Consider the following 22,354-nt stretch of genomic DNA (forward strand, 5'->3'; position numbering starts at 1 on the left):
AGGAGGCTGAAGAAGGCTTCGGACTGGACTCCCCAGCCCCTGGTGTTAGGGCTTTTCTCTTTCTTGGGCTTGGGAACATTAGCCAGCCCCATTTTAGAGGGGAAAACTGAGGCTCAGAAAGGGCACTGAATCCCCTTAGGTCACAATGCGCCCAAGGGAAGAGGCAGGATCGACTGAGCCTAGGATCTCGCGTCTTCGGCTTTCCCCCAGAGCCTGGGAAGCCCTTCTTAGCTCCACTCTTCTTTGAGCTTTCCGTCAAACAAATCCTAGGGCCCGTGGCCTTTTCGAGCGCTCCTAAAGGCGACTCTCCAAGACCCGCTCTCTAAGGTGCTCTTCCCCTTTAAGACTCACGGCTCTTCCCGTCAGGCTGCGTCGCAGTCTTAAGGCCCCGCCTTTTCAGACAGCTTCCGCTGGGCCTGGGCCGCTGCGGGGCGGTCACGGCCCCTTTAAGCCTGAGCCCCGCCCCCTGGCTCCCCGCCCCCTCTTCTCCCCTCCCCCAAGCCAGCACCTGGTGCCCCGGCGGGTCGTGCGGCGCGGCGCTCCGCGGTGAGCGCCTGACCCCGAGGGGGCCCGGGGCCGCGTCCCTGGGCCCTCCCCACCCTTGCGGTGGCCTCGCGGGTCCCAGGGGCGGGGCTGGAGCGGCAGCAGGGCCGGGGAGATGGGCGGTGGGGAGCGCGGGAGGGACCGGGCCGAGCCGGGGGAAGGGCTCCGGTGACTTAAGGGGAGGGAATGCTCCTCTGCCGTGCTCACCGCGTGCTGGGGCTGCGCGGGGCTAGGTATGGTCGGGCTGTTTTCCCACTGTCCCTTCTTCGGGCAGTGTCGCCGTCCAGCCTGGTTGTTGAAGCGTCCCCGTGGTCCCCCGGGGTCCAGGCCCCTTTGTGGAGGCAGCTGCTGGCCCCCAGCCCATGGGACCGTAGTCGCGGAGGCCTCTGCAGAGGCGCAGGCTGGAAGCGGTGGCCTTTGAGGGGGGCGGCAGGAGAGAGTACCGACCTCCCTCGAACTCCTGGCAGAGGTGGGGGTCGCAGCAAAAGCACTGGGGTGGAGGGCGGCCAGTGTGGGGCAGACGCCTGTGTGCCTTCCTCAGATACGGGCAGAGTTGTGGATGTGAGAAGGGTCTGGCTTGGGTACCTCAGTTCCAAACCTCCTGTGTCCATCAGAGAGCTGGCGGTCACCATGGCAATGCGGGAGCTGGTGGAGGCCGAATGCGGGGGTGCCAACCCGCTCATGAAGCTCGCCGGGCACTTCACCCAGGACAAGGCCCTTCGGCAGGAGGGATTGAGGCCTGGCCCCTGGCCCCCCGGAGCCCCGGCCTCTGAGGCAGTGAGTGTTCTTGAGGTGGAAAGCCCAGGTGCAGCCTCTGAGGCAGTGAGTGTTCTTGAGGTGGAAAGCCCAGGTGCAGCCTCTGAGGCAGTGAGTGTTCTTGAGGTGGAAAGCCCAGGTGGTGGTGGTCTGAGGTGGAGGGGCTGTTTGCACATCTTGGTATAACTGCTTTCTCTATTGTGTTGCAAATCATAGTAGTTACCACTTACTGAGCGTTTATAAACACTAGAAAACCCTGTGCACCTTTAAATAAATGCAACCATTTTATAGATGAAGAAGCCGAGGCTCAGATGCCTATGGGCTTCATCAACCCCTGATTTTAGAGGAACTGCGTCATTGTACATCTCTGTCTTTCTCTCTTAGGCCTCCAAGCCTTTGGGAGTAGCTTCTGAAGATGAGGTAAATAGACCAGTCTCTTTTCTGTCCCATTTTTCTCTTGCCCACTGTGTTTTTACCTTTAAACTTAGTTCACCCGTATTTCAATTTTTGGGCTTTCCTGACCGAATGAGAATGCCTGCTTGTTTTTAAATGTATTTTTTCGTCCTTCTAAATCTATGGAAAGACAGTTTCTCTTTATGTGTCTCCAGTTTCTGTGTTTTCCTTTCCTTGTATCTAACATTGGGATCCCCCTCCAGTGGGTCCTGCCTCTTGCTGGGGCCTCCCAAGCCTATGGGTTCATTTCATCATTTCCCTTCTGGCAGTTGGTGGCTGAATTCCTGCAGGACCAGAATGCACCCCTTGTGTCCCGTGCCCCTCAGACCTTCAAGATGGATGACCTCCTGGCTGAGATGCAGCAGATTGAGCAGTCAAACTTCCGCCAGGCTCCCCAGAGAGGTGAGTCCAGAGTCTAGTGGGAGGGGAGATCGTTTTCCATGTAGCCAGGGCCAAGGAAGGGGGTTCCATTGGATGCTGCTGGCATTGGGGACCTGAGATGCAGAAGGAGACAAAAGTAACAGAGTGTTTTCACGTGGATTCAGGGTTCTTTAGGCATGATGGAATGGTATGTATGTATTCTTTCTTAGTTTTCTCTCTCTCTCTTTTAAGCCCCTGGTGTGGCAGACTTGGCCTTGTCTGAGAACTGGGCCCAGGAGTTTCTTGCAGCTGGAGATGCTGTGGATGTAACTCAGGATTATAATGAGACTGACTGGTCCCAAGAATTCATCTCTGAAGTTACAGGTGAAACTTGTTATGGGAAAATCTATATTGGCTTCTATGGGACAGAATTCTATACCCTTCCCCTGTTCACGTTATAGTGTGATTACGATTTTTCTGGTCTCATGACTCATTTCTAGAGGGGTAGGGTACTGAACTCAATTTCCCTTAGGTGATAACGGAATGTAATGTATATTAAAGAGAGGACTGGGTTTGTACTGGATAAGAGATTTTGGATAGAGAGAACGAAGAGTTTGGTTGGCCTTTTTACTTTATCACTGTGGTTTAGTGGAGAGGATCTACAGATTGGATGGATGGCAGTGTTGCCGAGGAAGAGAGTATTCACTACAGCACCTGGGATTCTGGCCTTAAGTTATTTGGAACAGAATTGGGGCCTTCAGAGTGTTATTGTGAAGTTCCAGTGCCTGAAGTGTATGGCTTTAGAAGGTAAAGACCATACCATGATGATGATAATAAAAATTAATAACAATAGTTACGTTCTAGGCCTTGTGTTACATGCTTTGAATGCATTATCTACTTACTCTCCATGAGAACCCTAGAGGTAGTTACTGTTTTTAGACCTAGTTTAAAGATAAGAAAATTGAGGCTTAGAGGTGAAGTGTGCCCAAGGTTACACAGCTTTGTCAGTGGTAGAGTTGGGATTTGATCCTGGATTTGAATGATTCCTGACCCTGTGGCCTTAACTGTGATGCTATACTGTCAGGCCTGCAATTTATCTTCTTTCTTGCTTTGCTACAGACTTAAAGGTTTCAGCCTAATTTTTCCTCTTTGAAAGCATCCATTGCTCCTGCATCTTTTATGATTGATTCTTCTTGCCCTAAGCCTATCTAATCAGGTACATGGTGGGAAGGGCAGTCTCTTCAGCTTTCCTCTTCCTGATTGCTCTCAAAAGTTAGCCTTTTTCCTGTTTAAGATATCAAGAATAACAAGAGATACACATAGAGAAAGTTACCAAGTTCCAGGATCTCGGGGAGTCACATCATCATGGTTCCTGAATTTTTCTGAGATGATTAAAGGGACTGAATTGGTTTCTACCCCCACCATTTTAATTTATGTTCTTTCTTCGTTTGCTACAGATTTCAAGGTCTCAAGTCTAATTTTCCTTGAGAGCATCCATTGCTCCTCGCATCCTTTAGGATTGATTCTTCTTACCCGAAGCCTATCTGATCAGGGACAAATGTGTGTGAAGGAGGCCCATGTTTAGGATGGGCTTCTCCGCACACAAGAGAAAAATCCCAAATCTAAAAACTAAAACTCACCTTTAATAAGATCTGTGGGTCTCTTTTATCACGTGTCTCTTTCCCACCCATAAGTTGGAGTTAAGGTAGAACAGTAGGTGCTCTTGGCTTTAAGAGTGCTAATCACTTTATCTTCTTAAGCTCATTAGAACTTCACAGTAACAGTAACACAAGGTGGATATCCCACCCCCATTTTATAGATGAGGAGACTGAGATTTGGAAAAGTTAAATACTTTGTGCAAAATCATTGAATAATAGAGATGATATTCAAACTCATGTCTGTGTGGCTCTTGAGATTCTTTTTTTTTTTTTTTTTTTGAGACAGGGTCTTGCTCTCACCCAGGGTGGAGTGCAGCGGTGCAATCTGTACGCACTGCAACCTCTGCCTCCTGGCTTCAAGGGATTCTCCCGTTTCAGCCTCCTGAGTAGCTGGGACTACAGGCGTGTGCCACCATGCCCGGCTAATTTTGGTATTTTTAGTAGAGACAGGGTTTCACCATGTTGGCCAGGCTGGTCTTGAACTCCTGACCTTAAGTAATCCACCACAGCCTCCCAAAGTGCTGGGATTACAAGCGTGAGCCACCGCACGCGCCCTCACGTTGAGATTCTTTGTGAAATTGCCGCAAGTTAAAATCTGAACCATAGCAAAGACCCTCTCCAAGACAGAAACTCAGTTTTTCACATAAACCTTAGACTTAAGTGCTATCTCTTATCACAGAGAGGCTTCTGTTGTAATGTGGGCATTAGTCATTTTTGATAATTCAGAAAAATCATTGCTACTATGAGCGTTGAGATGGATGAAATTTTTGCTGTAATTACCTGAATTGCATGCAGCCATTGAAATCTTCCTTAACTTGAAATGAAAAAGAACTTTAGAAAAACATGTTTTATCTGTCTCACCAGTTAAATGCTCTTAGTAGAGCTCTTCTAGTATTTTGTAGATTCTTTTGGAATCGTGCCTGTTTCACAGAGGCAGAGACATGCAAACCTTAGAATGGGAGTTGAGCTGTTTGAAGTCTGCCTTCATAAAAATGTCTTATTGCAGCAGTATATTGCTTTGCATGTAGTAGGCCTCTGGTATTGAATGAATGAATTGAGATCTGGGAGAAAAAGCTAAAGGAAAGGAGTTCATTTTGTCGTAACTGACTTTTTTTTATTATCCTTCATTTTTAATTACAGCATTTGTGGTTGATACAATTGTATGGGTTAGCTATGGCTTTATAGATAAGTAGATTTTGAGATGAAAGAAGGTTATACTTTTTAAGTTCTTATTTTAAAATCTCCACTGTTAAGAGTCAAAATCAAGTTTAAAAAGAATGTTGCAGCTCAATTATTTAAATTTAAATTTTTTATTTGGAAGTACTTAGTTTCACTGGAAGTTGAAAAAAAAAATGTATAGGAAGGTTCTGTATACCCTTCACCCAGTCTCCTCCAGTGGTAACATTTTACATAGCAGTTATGCAGAGATCAAAAATCAAGAAGTTGCCCTTGTTTCAATCCTCAGAGTTTATTAGGTTTCACCAGTTTTACATGCCCTTATTTGTGTGTGTGTGTTTTTTGCAATTTTATTAAATGTGTAGATTTGTGTAAGCACCATCATGATCAAGATACAGAACTATTCTCTCACCACATGAAGTTCATTTTTTTAGCTTACCTTATTTTGTAATGGAATCCCCCCGTCTTAAATCTTCTGGGTCAAATAATTCTCCATCTTGTGTTTGCTCAGATCTAGAGATAAAACACATCTTCAGGGTTCTTAAATTTAGACAGCTTCGGTTGACATGGTATGTGAGGTTCATATGATAATCGTGAGAGATAAACCTGCACTTTCATGGGAAAAGCCATGGATAGCAGTAGCAGAAGATAATTGGCAACAGATCTTTTCTGGATGTTGGAGGAGAGGCTTTGGAATAACAGTCTCATTGTGATGTTTTCTGCTTTTGTTATAGGTTTGCCATGAGCAGACTAATGATAATAACTAACATTTGTTACTGTATTCATTGGTTTTCACCGCAGCCCCTACTGTTATCTCTGCTTTAAAGATAAGGACATGGAAACTTAAGAAGGTTGAGTAACTAGTCTGAAGATGCACAGTGAATAAGTGATGGAGTTAGGATTTAAATGTGGGTAGACTGACCCTACAACTTGTATTCTTCTCCACAGTGCTGCTATTTAGCAGACACAGAAACTTTCATGAGTAAGAGTAGCAAGTTCTGAGTTTTTGACTTTTGAGCTTGGGGAAGATGTGCCTAGAAGGAATGAGTAAACAACGAGAAATTATATGAGGTGCACATTTTGAGTGGGGTATTTGGTGTCTAGGTTATTCTCACTCTACTAATCTGTATGACCTCAGGCAGTGCATCCCCTCTGTAGACCTTAGTTGCCTTGATCTCAGATGTATCCACATGGATCTGATTTTCTGTAGGAATTTCTCAAAGATTGTGAAGGCAGTGTGTTACTCTTTTGATTCTTTCGGTTATTTGACTCTTGTTGGAGTAGGTTCCCAATGCCAAGAAATTCTGGGTCTTGTGGCGATTTAATCTGGCCAACTACCAAATTATAGGTATTTGAGGATAGTTTTTCTCAGCTCTGGGATTTTTTTTCTTAAACTGCCTCATATCTATTGTTAAGTCCTCATGTCTGTTGTAAAAATTCAAAGGTGCTTTGTGTTTTTTCTGTTTTTTTTTTTTTGTCCTTGAGAGGACCATTTCATAGGAATTTGAAATGTTTTCTGTGAATTTGAGGAGCACTTATGGCCAGAATATGCTTTTGCAAAATACTCTAGTTGAGAGTTAGAAGTGTTTGGAGAGTTGAGGAGGTAGTAGTTATTTTTCAACAGAATGGAGCTAAGAATTTCAACTAAGAATGGAACTAAGGAACTAGGAGATCTTAAAGTCTCTTTGAGTATTAAGCATCTCCTTTCCGTCTCCACACTTGAGGCAACAGTCTAATTGGGGCAAATGGAAGAGAAATGCTTCCTGTAAGAGCTAGTGAGCAGAATCTGTATTTAATTTTTGAGAGTCCTTGAAATTAACAGATGGATCTATGGTCAAAAAAAATTGCCAACCATATTTCTTATTACATTATACATTATATATTATATATATTATATATACATTTTACATTATATATAATGTATATATAATGTATTTCTTATGTTATAACGTATTTCTTATTACATTATGTTATATATAATGTATTTCTTATTACATATGTTACATATAATGTATTTATTACATTATATATTATATATAATGTAATATATGTTATGTAATAATTATATATGTCATATATAATTTAATTATATGTCATATTTAATTATATATGTCATAATTTATATATGTCATATATAATTTAATTATATGTCATATATAATTTAATTATATATGTCATAATTTATATATGTCATATATAATTTAATTATATATGACATATATAATGTAATAATTATGTGTCATACATATATGTGTCATATATAATGTAATAATTATATGTGCCATATATAATGTAATAATTATGTGTCATATATAATGTAATAATTACATCATATATAATGTAATAATTATATATGTCACATATAATGTAATAATTATATATGTCACATATAATGTAATAATTATATATGTCACATATAATGTAATAATTATATATGTCACATAATGTAATAATTATATATGTCACATATAATGTAATAATTATATATGTCACATATAATGTAATAATTATATATGTCACATATAATGTAATAATTATATATGTCACATATAATGTAATAATTATATATGTCACATATAATGTAATAATTATATATGTCACATATAATGTAATAATTATATATGTCACATATAATGTAATAATTATATATGTCACATAATGTAATAATTATATATGTCACATATAATGTAATAATTATATATGTCACATATAATGTAATAATTATATATGTCACATATAATGTAATAATTATATATGTCACATATAATGTAATAATTATATGTCACATATAATGTAATAATTATATGTCACATATAATGTAATAATTATATATGTCACATATAATGTAATAATTATATATGTCACATATAATGTAATTATATATGTCACATATAATGTAATTATATATGTCACATATAATGTAATTATATATGTCACATATAATGTAATTATATATGTCATATAATGTAATAATATATGTCATATATAATGTAATAATTATATATGTCATATATAATGTAATTATATATGTCATATATAATGTAATTATATATGTCATATATAATGTAATTATATATGTCATATGTAATAATTATATGTCATATGTAATAATTATATATGTCATATATAATGTAATAATTATATATGTCATATATAATGTAATCATATGTCATATACAATGTAATAATTATATATGTCATATACAATGTAATAATTATATATGTCATATACAATGTAATAATTATATATATGTCATATACAATGTAATTATATGTCATATACAATGTAATTATGTTATATATAATGTAATAATTATATATGTTATATATAATATAATAATTATATATGTTATATATAATGTAATAATTATATGTTATATATAATGTAATTATATATGTTATATATAATATAATAAGTAGTAATTACTTATTATTTATAATTAGGTGTATTCTGAGAGTCTTGATCTTTGTTTTTCACATTTTGACATTTCATGCTCAGATTTTGAGACTACTTTGTTGACATTATTCAGGCAAAGTTTCAGTTAAAATGGAGTAGAAGTTTTTGTACTTTAATACCGAAGGGGTAGTAAAAGCAAGGGTGGTCAGATCTTGAAACTGGGGACAAAGACTGCTAGTATCAGCTAATATTTTCACACCCCTGCCCAAATGTCCCTCTTTAATGCAAATTGGAGTTAGTAGGTTCTCAACAAGAGAGTGGAGTTCCCCCTTGGGAACTGTCCTTGTCATGGGCCAGGAGTGGGGAATAGCAGGGGAAGGTGGTGGCAGACTAACTAGTAAGATTAGTTCTGGACACAGGGCAGAAGGAAAGAACACCGTAGGCTTGTGCCTTCTCTTTGTTTCCTTGTGTTCTTTAGTGCCCGCAGTCAGTCTCCTTGTTTTTTTTTTCTGGCCACAGGATAGTAAAGGGCAAAGTCCTGGAGGATGAAAAACAGTTCAGCACCCTCATTGAGTTTGTTGCCTTGATAGGTTAATTCTGATGTTGCAGCAGTCCCCTTTGTCACTAGAGCTTCTGAGACAGTTTCTAAAATTAGACTGAAAAAACATAGCTACTCAAAGATAATCAAAAGTGAGAAAAGTCAGAATAGTGTTTACTTCTGGGGGCTGGGAGACTGAGGGAGCCTGTGAGGGAACTGTAAACGTTCTGTATCTTGATCCGGGTGGTGGTTATGTGAGTGTATCAAATGTGGAAGTTAATTTAGCTGTACACTTAAGTTTGGTAGACATTATATGGTTTCATATTTGTATATTACATTTCAATTAAAAAATGAAAAAACCCACCAAACATCCATAGGGAAGAGCAGACCTATGTGTCTTTAATTCTAGCCTAGCATTCCACTTCTCTGATTCTCTTGGTAGGCAAATTACAATGAAATAAGGCTCCTTTGGCCGGGATTGTGTGAACTCTGGGTAGAGGGAGAACAGACCAGTGCCTTGGTTAAGGAACAGGAGCCCTTCTGTGCTCCCTTCACTCCTTACTGGCTCCCTGCTGTACTTCTGAGGAAAGTGAAAGCCCTTCCGCTTCCTATTTCTTATTGAAATATCTTGCACTTCAAGAAAAAGAGTTTGGTTCTTAATCCTTTCCTGAGATTCCTTATTTGATCTCCCGTTCCCAACTCTCAGTAAATTTCTGCCCCAGGCTCCTTGAGAATGGGTTGGATATTGAGGATGTTGAAAATTTAGTACTATATTCTTTTGACCAGGGGTTTCTGAGGGAGTCAGCAGAGTTTTGTCTGCTTTGGTGTGGCTAAGAGGGTCAGTTGAATATGGGCATCTCTTTCCCTTTCCTTGATCCCACACTGAATGAACCTGTGTGATTTCCCCACTTCTCTGCTCCTTGCAGACCCCTTGTCTGTGTCCCCTGCCCGCTGGGCTGAGGAATATTTGGAGCAATCAGAGGAGAAGCTGTGGCTGGGAGAACCTGAGGGAACAGCCACCGATCGCTGGTGAGTTCAGATACCTCTTTCCGAATCCCGTGAAAGGAGTATGGACAGTTTTCCCAGCCTCCTCCATCCACGTTCTCGAACCAACTTACTTTATTCTTTTTTTTTTTTTTTTTTATCATTCTTGGGTGTTTCTTGCAGAGGGGGATTTGGCAGGGTCATAGGACAATAGTGGAGGGAAGGTCAGCACATAAGCAAGTGAACAAAGGTCTCTGGTTTTCCTAGGCAGAGGACCCTGCGGCCTTCCGCAGTGTTTGTGTCCCTGGGTACTTGAGATTAGGGAGTGGTGATGACTCTTAAAGAGCATGCTGCCTTCAAGCATCTGTTTAACAAAGCACATCTTGCACCGCCCTTAATCCATTTAACCCTGAGTGAACACAGCACATGTTTCAGAGAGCACAGGGTTGGGGGTAAGGTCATAGATCAACAGGATCCCAAGGCAGAAGAATTTTTCTTAGTACAGAACAAAATGAAAAGTCTCCCATGTCTACTTCTTTCTACACAGACACAGCAACCATCGGATTTCTCAATCTTTTCCCCACCTTTCCCCCTTTTCTATTCCACAAAACCGCCATTGTCATCATGGCCCGTTCTCAATGAGCTATTGGGTACACCTCCCAGACGGGGTGGTGGCCAGGCAGAGGGGCTCCTCACTTCCCAGTAGGGGCGGCCGGGCAGAGGCGCCCCTCACCTTCTGGACGGGGCGGCTGGCCGGGCGGGGGGCTGACCCCCACCTCCCTCCCGGACGGGGCGGCTGGCCGGGCAGGGGGCTGACCCCCACCTCCCTCCCGGACGGGGCGGCTGGCCGGGCGGGGGGCTGACCCCCACCTCCCTCCTGGACGGGGCGGCTGGCCGGGCGGGGGGCTGACCCCCCGCCTCCCTCCCGGACGGGGCGGCTGGCCAGGCGGGGGGCTGACCCGCACCTCCCTCCCGGACGGGGCGGCTGGCCGGGCGGGGGGCTGACCCCCACCTCCCTCCCGGACGGGGTGGCTGCCGGGCGGAGACGCTCCTCACTTCCCAGACGGGGCGGCTGCCGGGCAGAGGGTCTCCTCACTTCTCAGACGGGGCGGCCGGGCAGAGACGCTCCTCACCTCCCAGACGGGGTCGCGGCCAGGCAGAGGCGCTCCTCACATCCCAGACGGGGCGGCGGGGCAGAGGCGCTCCTCACATCTCAGACGATGGGTGGTCGGGCAGAGACGCTCCTCACTTCCTCGATGGGATGGCGGCTGGGAAGAGGCGCTCCTCACTTCCTAGATGGGATGGCGGCCGGGCAGAGACGCTCCTCACTTTCCAGACTGGGCAGCCAGGCAGAGGGGCTCCTCACATCCCAGACGATGGGCGGCCAGGCAGAGACGCTCCTCACTTCCCAGATGGGGTGGCGGCCAGGCAGAGGCTGCAATCTCGGCACTTTGGGAGGCCAAGGCAGGCGGCTGGGAGGTGGAGGTTGTAGCGAGCCGAGATCACGCCACTGCACTCCAGCCTGGGCACCATTGAGCACTGAGTGAACGAGACTCCGTCTGCAATCCCGGCACCTCGGGAGGCCGAGGCTGGCGGATCACTCGCGGTTAGGAGCTGGAGACCAGCCCGGCCAACACAGCGAAACCCCGTCTCCACCAAAAAAATACGAAAACCAGTCAGGCATGGCGGCGCGTGCCTGCAATTGCAGGCACTCGGCAGGCTGAAGCAGGAGAATCAGGCAGGGAGGTTGCAGGGAGCCGAGATGGCAGCAGTACAGTCCAGCTTCGGCTCGGCATCAGAGGGAGACCGTGGAAAGAGAGGGGGAGAGAGACCGTAGGGAGAGGGAGAGGGAGAGGGAGAGGGCTTACTTTATTCTTTAAGATTTCCCCTTGGGTTATTACTCCTGTGAATTTATGGTTGAAATGTAGTCAAGGACACAGTGGTTGTGTGCCTGTACTCAGGAAGCTGAGGTGGGAGGATTGCTTGGGCCCAGGAGGTCAAGTCTAGCCCGAGGAACACAGTAAGACCTTGTCTTTAAAAAACCAAAAGCGCATGCATGTGTGCGTGCACACACACACACGCACACACATATATACACACATACACATATGTACACACGCATACATACACATACATGTGCACATACATGTATATACACACGTATACATATGTAAACATGTAGATACATGCGTACACATGTATACACACACATAGACATACATGTATACACACATACACATACACATGTATATACATACACACATACACGTATATATACATATCAGCTATATTTGGGAGGAAGGGAGTTTTCAGACTTTTAAAATATATGTATATAGGTAAATATATATATATTTTTCAAGAATCCTAACTATCCTATATGACGTTCATAACTTCATCTTAAAGTTCATAATTTTACCTTGTTCCCTTCTTAATTTTGAGCCTGCTACTATCCCATCTGTATGCAAAGATATGTTTGGGAAAGGGAGAGCTAGAAGGATGTAGCTAGTACTTTCACACTCCTGCCCAAATGTCCTTCTATAATGCAAATTGGAGTTTGTAGGTTCTCAACAGGAGAATGGAGTTCCCTCACAGGAACTGTCATTGTCATGGGCTAGGAGTGGGGAGTAGCATGGGGAGGGTGATGGCAGACTAATGTGTAAAATTAGTTCTTACCCGTTCCAGGTATGATGAATATCATCCTGAGGAGGATCTGCAGCACACGGCCAGTGACTTTGTGGCCAAAGTGGATGACCCCAAATTGGCTAATTCTGAGGTGAGCCACATCCCTCTGCTGCTTTGCCCAGCAGAGCTGGTTTTGGAAGGCAAGAATCTTGCTTTTCTTACCCCAGTTTAGTTTAAAGAGAAGGAGAAGAGATCTTAGGTCTCTTCGTTCCTGTCTATAGAACAGAGACTTAAGATCCTGCCTCTTCCTTCTAGTGTTCATTCCCTCATCTCCTTGCCTACTAACTCTTTTTTCTGATGCCTTTGCAAGTCTTTAGAGCCAGAAATCCCTTTCTTTTTGCTCTCTACCTCTTTTAGGGTCTTTAGCATATCTTGTCTGCAGCTAGAGATGGTCAGGGGAGGGGTGAGTACAGGGTCCTCTTGGGCATGGTTGAGAGTGCACACCTGGAAGTCCTTTCCCAAGTGGCCTGTGTGTGTCTCTGTGCCCCAGTTCCTGAAATTCGTGCGGCAGATTGGCGAAGGGCAGGTGTCCCTGGAGTCCGGTGCAGGGTCGGGCCGAGCTCAGGCAGAACAGTGGGCAGCAGAGTTTATACAGCAGCAGGTAGGACATTGTCACTTTCCAGTCCCACTTCAGAGCCAGCTGATGCCCCAGGCCATGGGTTCAGTGGTCAGTGGTCCCAGATGGGGAAGGATAAGACCAGCTTGTCTTGATAGCATCCAGGTCCCAAGTGGGTGGGAAAGAGATTCTGAGAATGATTTTCTCAGAAGTACCCAGGTTGGTGGTGGTTAGTGGGTATTTAGTGTGCGTCTGATGGATAGAAAGTTGGTGGTAGTGGTACTGACCATCCTTTTTTGTCGCAGGGTACATCAGATGCCTGGGTTGACCAGTTCACAAGACCAGTAAACACATCTGCCCTTGATATGGAGTTTGAACGAGCCAAGTCAGCTATAGAGGTGAGAGCAGATAGTGCAGGAGCAGACACCCCAAAAGAAAACACTCCTTGGAGTGAGTGGGTGTATGAACATCAAAGATGATGCAAATTGTATTTCATAGTGGACCTGGATCATCTGTGTCAGAGTTGCTTGGGGATGGGGTGGGTGCTGTTGAAAAATGCAGATTTCTGGGCCAGGCATGGTGGCTCATGCCTGTAATCTCAGCACTTTGGGAGCCCGAGGTGGGTGGATCACCTGAGGTTAGGAGTTCGAGACCAGTCTGAACAACATGGAGAAACCCCATGTCTCTACTAAAAATACAAAATTAGCGTGGTGTGTTGGCGCATGCCTGTAATCCCAGCTACTTGGGAGGCTGAGGCAGGAGAAATGTTTGAAACTGGGAGGTGGAGGTTGCAACGAGATGAGATCACGCCATTGCACTCTAGCCTGGGCAACGAGAGTGAAACTCTGTCTCAAACAAAAAACTAAACTAAACTATGCACTGCACTGCACTGCACTGCACTGCACTGCACTGCACTACATTACATTTCTGGCCATCACCCCAGACTACTAAATCAGTATCTGGGGATAGCATCTGGCCATTTGCATTTTAAAAAACTTATTCAGATGATTCTTAAACATATTGAAATTCAAGAACTGCTGCCTTAGAGAATCCCAGCAGAGCTGAGTGTGGGGTGGGGTGGTCATGATGGATCTCCTTTTTCTATCTGCTTTCCCTTCCTTACAGTCTGATGTCGATTTCTGGGACAAGTTGCAGGCAGAGTTGGAGGAGATGGCAAAACGGGATGCTGAGGCCCACCCCTGGCTTTCTGACTATGATGACCTTACGTCAGCTACCTATGATAAGGTGAGGTAAAAACTCTTAGTTTTTCAGGTTCCAGAACTTCCTTCTTTTTAACGTCTTTCCTTTAATCCTGAATTTGAAGGGTGCTTTTAAGTATTTTCTTGAGTCCCTTTCCACGAAAAGAAGTCTGAATAATTCCCTTGCCCTTCCTCTTCAGTGATTGAGTATAAACTTTATTCTTGGGATATAGATGTTAATGAGACTATCTTTGTCAATAACGACAGTCCAGTACATAACACCTGTGAAGGAGGTTTGCACATGCTTGCTGCATTAAAAGCACAGAGGAAGTAGCTCTGCTTGGAGGTCAGATTGGGAGCTTTTTGAGAAGACTGCTGACTCCTTTGGTGGGGAGTGTTAGTGGACAGACTATCCCTTTGCCTCCACATCTTAATATCTGTTTACTTTTTAAACTCACATATTCATTTTAAGTTCTTATCTTTTATAGGTAGTAGCCACTTGCCCTAATTTAGGGTTTTCAAAGAATTTATATTAGATAACTTAAATATTAGGGAAATTTCTTAGTAGTATGAAAGATGATTGCATTTTGCCTATAGCATGTGCTGTTGACTTAGAAGCATATGTTACTTCTGGGGTCTTACTGAAAAACAAATCTACCTGTGGGTTGTAGGATATTTGGGGATGTGTTTAATAACTGAGCTCCTGAGTTGAAACATGAAGAGGGGAAAGAATCACTTGGTTTTGAAAAAAGGCAAAACAGGAACTGGGGATGTGAGTAGTGATGTCTTTTTCTCAGTTCAGATCTGGTTGGGAAAGTATTGTGGGGCTGGAACCAGGGCCTGAGATGCAAACCAGGGTGCTGGAGATGGATCTTGATGTAATAAGGGAGCTATGCAAAGATGGGAAGATGCAGTTCAGAAAAAGGCTAGAGTTTGAGAGCCAGTGAAGAACAGTATTAGGAAAAATATGATTTTGCTTATTATTCCAGTCTGATCTGGATTTTTCTAACTATCCTGTGTGATATAAGGGAAAAGACAGCTGGGACCTTGCCATGTATTTCACTAGACTATGAGTTCATTGTATATAATTTTGATAAGGAAGAACTGAAGGAAATATAGATAACACTTTTGTTATTATTTTGTATTAACAATTTGATAAGTCACATAGGCCCCATCAACTTATAAATGGAAAGTTGTACATTTATGTAAAAATGTCCATGCTTTTCATACATATAGACATAATACTAGTTTTGTATGAGCAGCATTTTCTTTTATCATTTATTACTCTCGTATTTATGACATGCTGGCCAGAATACATTTTTTTTTTTCAGACACATAGAACAATGTGACAAATTAGAAAGCAAATTTTTTTTTAGAAAAAAAATCACATTTGATCAGGTTCCAAGAATAGAAATGTGGAAAGGATAGTCTTTTCGATAAATGGTATTGGAGAAACTGCATATCCATGTGCAAAAGAGTGAAACTGAACCGTTACCTCACACTATGTACAAAACTTAATCCAAAATGGCTTAAAGACCCAAATGCAGTACCCAAAACCGTAAAATGCCTAGAAGAAAACATAGGGAGAAAGTTTCTTGACATTAGTCTTTGCAATGATTTTTGGGATATGAGCTTTTGGTGTCATATCCAGAATACATTTTTTAATTAAAAACTTTAAAAGTATGTTTGTAGATTCTTGAGCCCTACTTGATATCATTGATACTTTGGGATATTGCAAAATTAGGACTAGAAATACTTGCATTAATGTTCCTCAAAAAGTGATGTAGTAAGCAATTAGACAGTATCTGGCTTTAAGCTAATATTGAATTCCATGTCAATAGAACTTTTTAAAAACAAAGGACTTGACTCTTGATTGTTACATAAATTCATGGATCTCTTTGAATGCACTGTTTGTTTATTGATAGCCCTTATATTTTCAGAGACAATTTACATTGCAGCTCAGGCAGATATTAATATACTATTATGATAAAAGAGAAGTATGTGATGGGACAAACTCTTTGTAGTGATCATTTCTGCAGTTTGATCCTATGAGATTTTGGAGCAGACCAGACCGTGTATCAGATAAAATTAATGACTTGGGTTTGGCTTTTCAGGATGTAACAGTGAAGCCAAGCTTATCCTGTGTTCTGTGGGTTGTTGAGGGATCCCCCAGAGTACTCTTTTTCCATCATCTATGCAAATATTCTAATTTTGGAAAATTCCTCTTTGATCAGCAATTGATGAGACTTCAAGGAGGGTAGATAATATGGATGAGAGGAAACTTAGAGAATCCTGTGGTTGCAAGATGGTGGCATTGAGTTGTTGTATTATCTAATGAAGACACCTGAAGAGCATTCGCATCACTTCTGGCTGTCATATACAGGCCATCATATCTTAAGGAAGTATCTAGAGCAGTGAGGATAATAGCTATTTACAGATAGTATCTTAAGCTTTTTGGTAAGGCGTTGGTGAAGATTCCCATTTGATGTTCTCAATGGCTCTGAGAGGCAGGAATTACTTTTATTAGGAAACTGCATTATAGATGACAGTAATCTCTGTTTTCTGTAGAGTGGCTTAAAACACGTATTAATGATGAACAATAGTTGAGGTTGAATGCAGAAGGATTTATTTTATTGAACTGTAATAGTCTAGGGCAAGGGCCAGCACACTGGCTTGTGGGATAAATCTTTATGTTTTTAGTGATCCACTAGCTGAGGATGGTTTTAACATTTTTAAATGGTTGGAGAAAATCAAAAGAGTAATACTTTGTGACAAGTGAAAATTATATAAAATTCAAATTTTAGTGTCCATAAATAAAATGTTATTGGAAGACAGCCGTGCTCATTTGTTTACTTATGTCTGGCTGCTTTCGCACTACAACAGTAGAGGTGAGTAGTTGCAGCAGATCCACGAAGCCTGAAATATTTATTATCTGGCCCTTCGCAGAAAAAGTTTGCTGATCACTGGACTAGCGTCATTTTCTGCCTTCTTAGTTTTTATATTATGCAGAGATGTCCAAAAACACACTTGTTTTCAATATAAATATACTTTCTATACATTTATCTCAAATCTACTATAATATGTCTTTCTTCTTAAACCCCCCATTGTAATTATTTAATTTTCATTTGTGACAAATAATTTGCATCTGATCATGACTTAGAATTTTGCTGGTAAGATTTAAGTGTTTTTGATTCTTTATCATTTTCACAATAATAATGAAAAAGGGCCTCATGTCTTTATTTTGTACAGTTTTATCTGAATTTATTCTTAACTGCATTTAGAAAGACCTCCACCTGTTGTTTTGCATCTTGTTTTCGTTCTGGTGTATTATTTTATGATGGTAACTACTCTCCAAAAACGGACTTTTTATTTGCATGTCCCAGATTTTGCAGCTTACTAGTGACTTCCCCTTTACCTCATTTCTTCTCTGCCTAGTGTAAAATGCCAGTTGACAAAGCTTTGCAGATAGTATCGTAACTCTTCTCTAAAGTGAGAAATCCTCAGCTGGAAGAGAATGGTGTCTTTCTGAAGTATTCTCTGCCATCTGGATTTTGGGATCCAGCTTTTGCTTACTGTCAGATACAGATTAATATTCATGATTATTAAGAATGAAATCGGGGAATAAATTAACATTTTCAAAATGCTTGAAAATGTTTTATCTAGTTGACATGTGGAATGACTCTGAGCTAAGTAAGAGTTATATTTGAATAGCAGGACTCCAAACAACATTTCCTTTATACATCATCACATTATTGAAGGATAACAAGAAATGCACTTTGCATAGCTAGGGACACTTTGTCTCATTACTATAAGCAGATCCTGTTGAGACATTCTGCCCCGTGGTGAGAAGTCAAGGTGTGGGAATACAAGCCTGTGATGACTTCCTAAAATAAGCTTATTTCCAGCGCAGATGAATTTGTAGACTTTCCTAGCTTCCCAGGTATCATGAACAGGAGATGGGAGCACAAACCTGATACCAAATGATTTTACTTGTGTCATACATGATCTTTATAATATGGAGAATTTGCCAGCAATTAATTCCGGAACCTGTTTGGAGGCCCTCAGCTTCTCTGCCTGCTGGTTGTCATCCTCACATCCCTGCTGTTCTGACGGTGCCACCTCTCAGTCCATCTCTCACGTGCTTTTCTTGTAGGGGTACCAGTTTGAGGAGGAGAACCCCTTGCGTGATCACCCTCAGCCTTTTGAAGAAGGGCTGCGGCGCCTTCAGGAGGGGGACCTGCCAAATGCTGTGCTGCTTTTTGAGGCAGCTGTGCAGCAGGATCCTAAGCACATGGAAGTGAGTGACTCCATAGTCTCATTTCTGGCTAGAGACTGCTTCCTCCATCTTGAGAAAGGCCCCAAGGAGAGTAGTGCAGATGGGTTAGGGCCTGGGTGATGGCCTAGGATAGGGGCTTGAGAGCGAGATGGTGAGTGGGAGAAGCCAGGGGGAAGGGCGAATGGAGAGGTGAATATGGGGTGATGGAATCTGTCAACTTCCCTCTAGGCTTGGCAGTATCTGGGTACCACCCAGGCAGAGAATGAACAAGAACTATTAGCCATCAGTGCATTGCGGAGGTGAGTACACTGAAAGGTGTGGGTGAGGTGCTTCCAAGGCTCTGCATATAACCTTTTGAATGACAGAAGCCCAGACCTGGATCCTTGTCTTCTTTCTGAGTGCTATCAAGAGTGTTTTCTCATGCTGAAACTCTGAGGGTTGGAGTGAATTCCATTCCTTCATCGGCTTTTGATTTTATTTGCGGCTTTGGTTGGCTCCTTGCCTGCTAAAACCTTCCCCTTAGATCTGTAACTTTATTATTAACTCATGTCAGAGGAGTCACAGGTGAGGCCATTGTGACTCTGCATTTCAAAGCTTGGCTTGGATCCCAGGGTGCTCACATGTGCCAGTGTCAGTCATTGCAGATATCAAGTCTGCCCATCCCTGATCAAACAGGTGTCTGGAGCTAAAGCCAGATAACCAGACAGCACTGATGGCGCTGGCTGTGAGCTTCACCAACGAGTCCCTGCAGCGACAGGCCTGTGAAACCCTACGAGACTGGCTGCGGTACACACCAGCCTATGCCCATCTGGTGACACCTGCTGAAGAAGGGGCTGGTGGGGCAGGACTGGGCCCCAGCAAGCGTATCCTGGGATCTCTCTTGTCTGAGTGAGTATGAGGGGTTCCTAGGATGAGGAATTACAGTAACCTAAGTCCCAGTAGGAGGGTGACCTTGGTTTTGGAAGTTTGGATGGATTGAGACTGAAGGGTCCTGAGAATGGGATGGGAAACCTAGGATCAAGTTGAAGGAGGTCTGCATTCTACAGTTCAGTGCTAGGATGAAATAGAAAAACAGGCTTCTATATTGGACTTTGAGAGTAGAAGAGATGACTGATAGATTGATGAATGTTGGGGATATGGTTGATCAATGAAGAAATTAATTTGGGGGGATGGGAATAGAGACATTCATCTACCTACTTTGTGTTTTTTTCCTTTTCATCCAGCTCCCTGTTTCTTGAAGTGAAAGAGCTCTTCCTGGCAGCTGTGCGGCTGGACCCTACCTCCATTGACCCTGATGTGCAGTGTGGCTTGGGAGTCCTTTTCAACCTGAGTGGGGAGTATGACAAGGCCGTGGACTGCTTCACAGCTGCCCTCAGCGTTCGTCCCAATGTGAGCCCAGGGGAGGAATGGAAATGGGACATGACTGTGTACCTTATTGAAGAGCCATTTGTTGGGAAGCTGGGTTTGATGGTGCATGCCTGTAGTCCCAGCTACTTGGGAGGCTGAAGTGGGAGGATCACTTGAGCCTGGGAGTTCAAATCCAGCCTGGGCAACATAGCAAGACCCTGCCCACCCCCACAAAAAAGAATAATTTGTTCAGACTTTTGGAGTCTTGGGGTATTTCATTCCAGTGTTCCATGTACTGACTGCCTTGGGAGGACTGGGAAAAGAAGGCTGGGAGTGTAGGGTCATCTGGACATAAGAGAGTCTGCATAGGGTGAGAGGGGCTACATTGTAGCCACACACCGAACTGTTGAGAATGGAATGGGACGAAACATGTTAGCTAACAGAGTAGTGAAACAGCTGGAGTAATGTGCAGAGTTTGAGCTGAGTCGGTGGAGTAATGTGCAGAGTTTGAGCTGAGTCAAGCTGTTCCCATCCGTTCTGCATCCCTATCCCAGGACTATTTGCTGTGGAATAAGCTAGGCGCCACCCTGGCCAATGGAAACCAGAGTGAAGAAGCAGTAGCTGCGTACCGCCGGGCCCTCGAGCTCCAGCCTGGCTATATCCGGTCCCGCTATAACCTGGGCATCAGCTGCATCAACCTCGGGGCTCACCGGTGAGAGTATCTATTGAGAAATGAATGAATGAGCTTTTTCTCCCTGCCTTTGGCCCTAGCTCCTTATTCTTAGATCCTGTTTGACTAACCAGCCCTAGCTTTCTCCCTCCCACTGCTAGCTGACCTGCTTCCTTCCATTGTTGTTCAGCTTAACAGCTCTCATTCCTCTTCTTCCTTACAGGGAGGCTGTGGAGCACTTTCTGGAGGCCCTGAACATGCAGAGGAAAAGCCGGGGCCCCCGGGGTGAAGGAGGTGCCATGTCGGAGAACATCTGGAGCACCCTGCGTTTGGCATTGTCTATGTTAGGCCAGAGCGATGCCTATGGGGCAGCCGACGCGCGGGATCTGTCCACCCTCCTAACTATGTTTGGCCTGCCCCAGTGACAGTGGGACGGGCTGCCCTGTGAGTGTCCACCTGGAGGGATCCCCGCTTTGGATGTGATTCCCTCTCCCCAAATGGGCCTACCAAGGGGGCGGGCTGATGACCATAAGCGGTACGGCCTTTCAGGAGCTGCCTCAACGTAGGGGTGGGTAGTCTGTGTTCTAGTTCCTACATAATTGTAGGAAAATGAGCTGTGTCATCTCTGAGTCCCTTGGTAATTCAAGGGCTGTACATCCAGCTACAGATCTCTCTGCTCATCATGCCCTTTCTTGGTGCTGCTTTTTGGGTAGGACCCCACGATTTAGGGTAACTGTTATCATCAGCTGCCATTTCTGATAGGGTCTACCACATCTGTAATGTCTGTCCTTTCCCCCACTTTTACTGGGAATTGATAGTCCAGCTTCCTTGGGCAGTGTAAGTAGGAGGTTCATCTGCTGTGCGCCTCTAATGTCTGTCTGGATGGGATGTGTTAGGAGTTGGCCTGTTGGGTTGAATTGTTGATTTGGCTGAGCAGAGCTGAGTTTTGGTAGGAGTGCTCATGGTTCTGTCATTCTTGGACCTCTCCTGGCTGAGCTCTGATTCCCTGTGAGCACGATGCTGATGCAATAGTCCTGTGTCATCACTGCAGCGGTCCTCAGGAGCTGCCAGGGCCAATTGCTACAGAGTGTCTGGGTGTGTGGCATAGGAGGAAGGTTTGCTTGTGAAATGAGGCTGGGTGGGAGCGGGGAGGGACTAGATCAGAAGAGATCAAGGGCTCTATTCAGGAACGTTGGTGGGAGGACAGAGCAAGTGGGAAGGGGGTATGGTGAGTGCGGCAATCCCTCATCCTCTTAGAAGCACCTGTGAATGGGAATTGAGCCAACTGTTATAGAAAATTGGTTCAGAAAGTGCAATCTTGCCAGATTTCTAGCAAATAGGTTCAGTGTTACCATAAGCCTTTGCTGTACTTCTTGAAATGTTTCTAGGGGAGAGCATTGGAAAATCCCCTTCCCCCATCTAGATCGAAGGAAGATGAGGGAGCAGCTTGGATTCTTCTCAGTTGTCCCCTGCATGGGGAGATACACTAACCCCCAGAAATGACTGCTAAGCCTCTTGCCTTGTCTTTAGTAGCTAATGATCAGAGAGATTTTTTTTTTAAACTACCATGGTCCCAGGATTCCATCCTGAAATTTATTTTTCTTTGTATGAATATGTGTAAATGATTTAAAAATAAAACTGTAAAATATTTGTACGAAGAATAAATGGAACTGATGTGGGTATGAGTTCTGCTGGTCATGAAGCTGGGATGGCAGAAGGTGAGTTGGCGTTTGGAGGACTGGGATTCAACAGTTTCTGCC

The 22,354-nt window shown here is 43.5% G+C and overlaps 1 protein-coding gene across 43 annotated transcripts in view, besides 7 other annotated features; it reads left to right on the forward strand.

The window, feature by feature from the left end:
* Window positions 1-22,354, forward strand: part of PEX5 (peroxisomal biogenesis factor 5) — a 29,922-nt gene that overhangs the window by 552 nt on the left and 7,016 nt on the right. For 2 of the 43 annotated variants that reach the window (XR_007063107.1, XM_047429257.1), the window contains exons 1-16: window positions 482-776; window positions 1,158-1,365; window positions 1,684-1,719; window positions 2,022-2,154; window positions 2,365-2,496; window positions 9,807-9,909; window positions 12,547-12,637; window positions 13,037-13,147; window positions 13,408-13,500; window positions 14,228-14,347; window positions 18,455-18,598; window positions 18,806-18,876; window positions 19,253-19,465; window positions 19,801-19,966; window positions 20,479-20,636; window positions 20,818-21,038. Coding sequence is in view for 42 of the 43 variants with exons in the window: in XM_047429257.1 (XP_047285213.1) it covers window positions 730-776; window positions 1,158-1,365; window positions 1,684-1,719; window positions 2,022-2,154; window positions 2,365-2,496; window positions 9,807-9,909; window positions 12,547-12,637; window positions 13,037-13,147; window positions 13,408-13,500; window positions 14,228-14,347; window positions 18,455-18,598; window positions 18,806-18,876; window positions 19,253-19,465; window positions 19,801-19,966; window positions 20,479-20,636; window positions 20,818-21,019 (2,028 nt within the window). In the remaining variant the exon portion in view is untranslated. Of the gene's footprint in view, window positions 1-8; window positions 328-481; window positions 1,411-1,683; window positions 1,720-2,021; window positions 2,155-2,364; window positions 2,497-9,806; window positions 9,910-12,546; window positions 12,638-13,036; window positions 13,148-13,407; window positions 13,501-14,227; window positions 14,348-18,454; window positions 18,599-18,805; window positions 18,877-19,252; window positions 19,466-19,800; window positions 19,967-20,478; window positions 20,637-20,817; window positions 22,256-22,354 lie in introns of those variants that run through there. The other 41 variants (NM_001131026.2, NM_001351133.2, XM_017019748.2 and 38 more) reach the window with 41 other exon arrangements.
* Window positions 279-338: an enhancer, noted in NCBI's record as "active region_5916". NCBI's record gives its function as "activates an Ori minimal core promoter by ATAC-STARR-seq in GM12878 lymphoblastoid cells {active_cell/tissue: GM12878}" and the evidence as "EXISTENCE:reporter gene assay evidence [ECO:0000049][PMID:35858748]".
* Window positions 339-1,055: an enhancer, noted in NCBI's record as "H3K27ac-H3K4me1 hESC enhancer chr12:7342139-7342855 (GRCh37/hg19 assembly coordinates)". NCBI's record gives its function as "activates a minimal SCP1, AML or CMV promoter by ChIP-STARR-seq in naive and primed H9 embryonic stem cells {active_cell/tissue: H9 hESC(naive and primed)}" and the evidence as "EXISTENCE:reporter gene assay evidence [ECO:0000049][PMID:30033119]".
* Window positions 449-858: a silencer, noted in NCBI's record as "silent region_4201". NCBI's record gives its function as "represses an Ori minimal core promoter by ATAC-STARR-seq in GM12878 lymphoblastoid cells {active_cell/tissue: GM12878}" and the evidence as "EXISTENCE:reporter gene assay evidence [ECO:0000049][PMID:35858748]".
* Window positions 1,049-1,198: an enhancer, noted in NCBI's record as "active region_5917". NCBI's record gives its function as "activates an Ori minimal core promoter by ATAC-STARR-seq in GM12878 lymphoblastoid cells {active_cell/tissue: GM12878}" and the evidence as "EXISTENCE:reporter gene assay evidence [ECO:0000049][PMID:35858748]".
* Window positions 1,049-1,771: a biological region, named in NCBI's record as "H3K27ac-H3K4me1 hESC enhancer GRCh37_chr12:7342856-7343571".
* Window positions 1,056-1,771: an enhancer, noted in NCBI's record as "H3K27ac-H3K4me1 hESC enhancer chr12:7342856-7343571 (GRCh37/hg19 assembly coordinates)". NCBI's record gives its function as "activates a minimal SCP1, AML or CMV promoter by ChIP-STARR-seq in naive H9 embryonic stem cells {active_cell/tissue: H9 hESC(naive)}" and the evidence as "EXISTENCE:reporter gene assay evidence [ECO:0000049][PMID:30033119]".
* Window positions 1,229-1,308: an enhancer, noted in NCBI's record as "active region_5918". NCBI's record gives its function as "activates an Ori minimal core promoter by ATAC-STARR-seq in GM12878 lymphoblastoid cells {active_cell/tissue: GM12878}" and the evidence as "EXISTENCE:reporter gene assay evidence [ECO:0000049][PMID:35858748]".

Source organism: Homo sapiens, chromosome 12 (assembly GCF_000001405.40).
Source record: "Homo sapiens chromosome 12, GRCh38.p14 Primary Assembly".
NCBI lineage: Eukaryota > Metazoa > Chordata > Mammalia > Primates > Hominidae > Homo > Homo sapiens.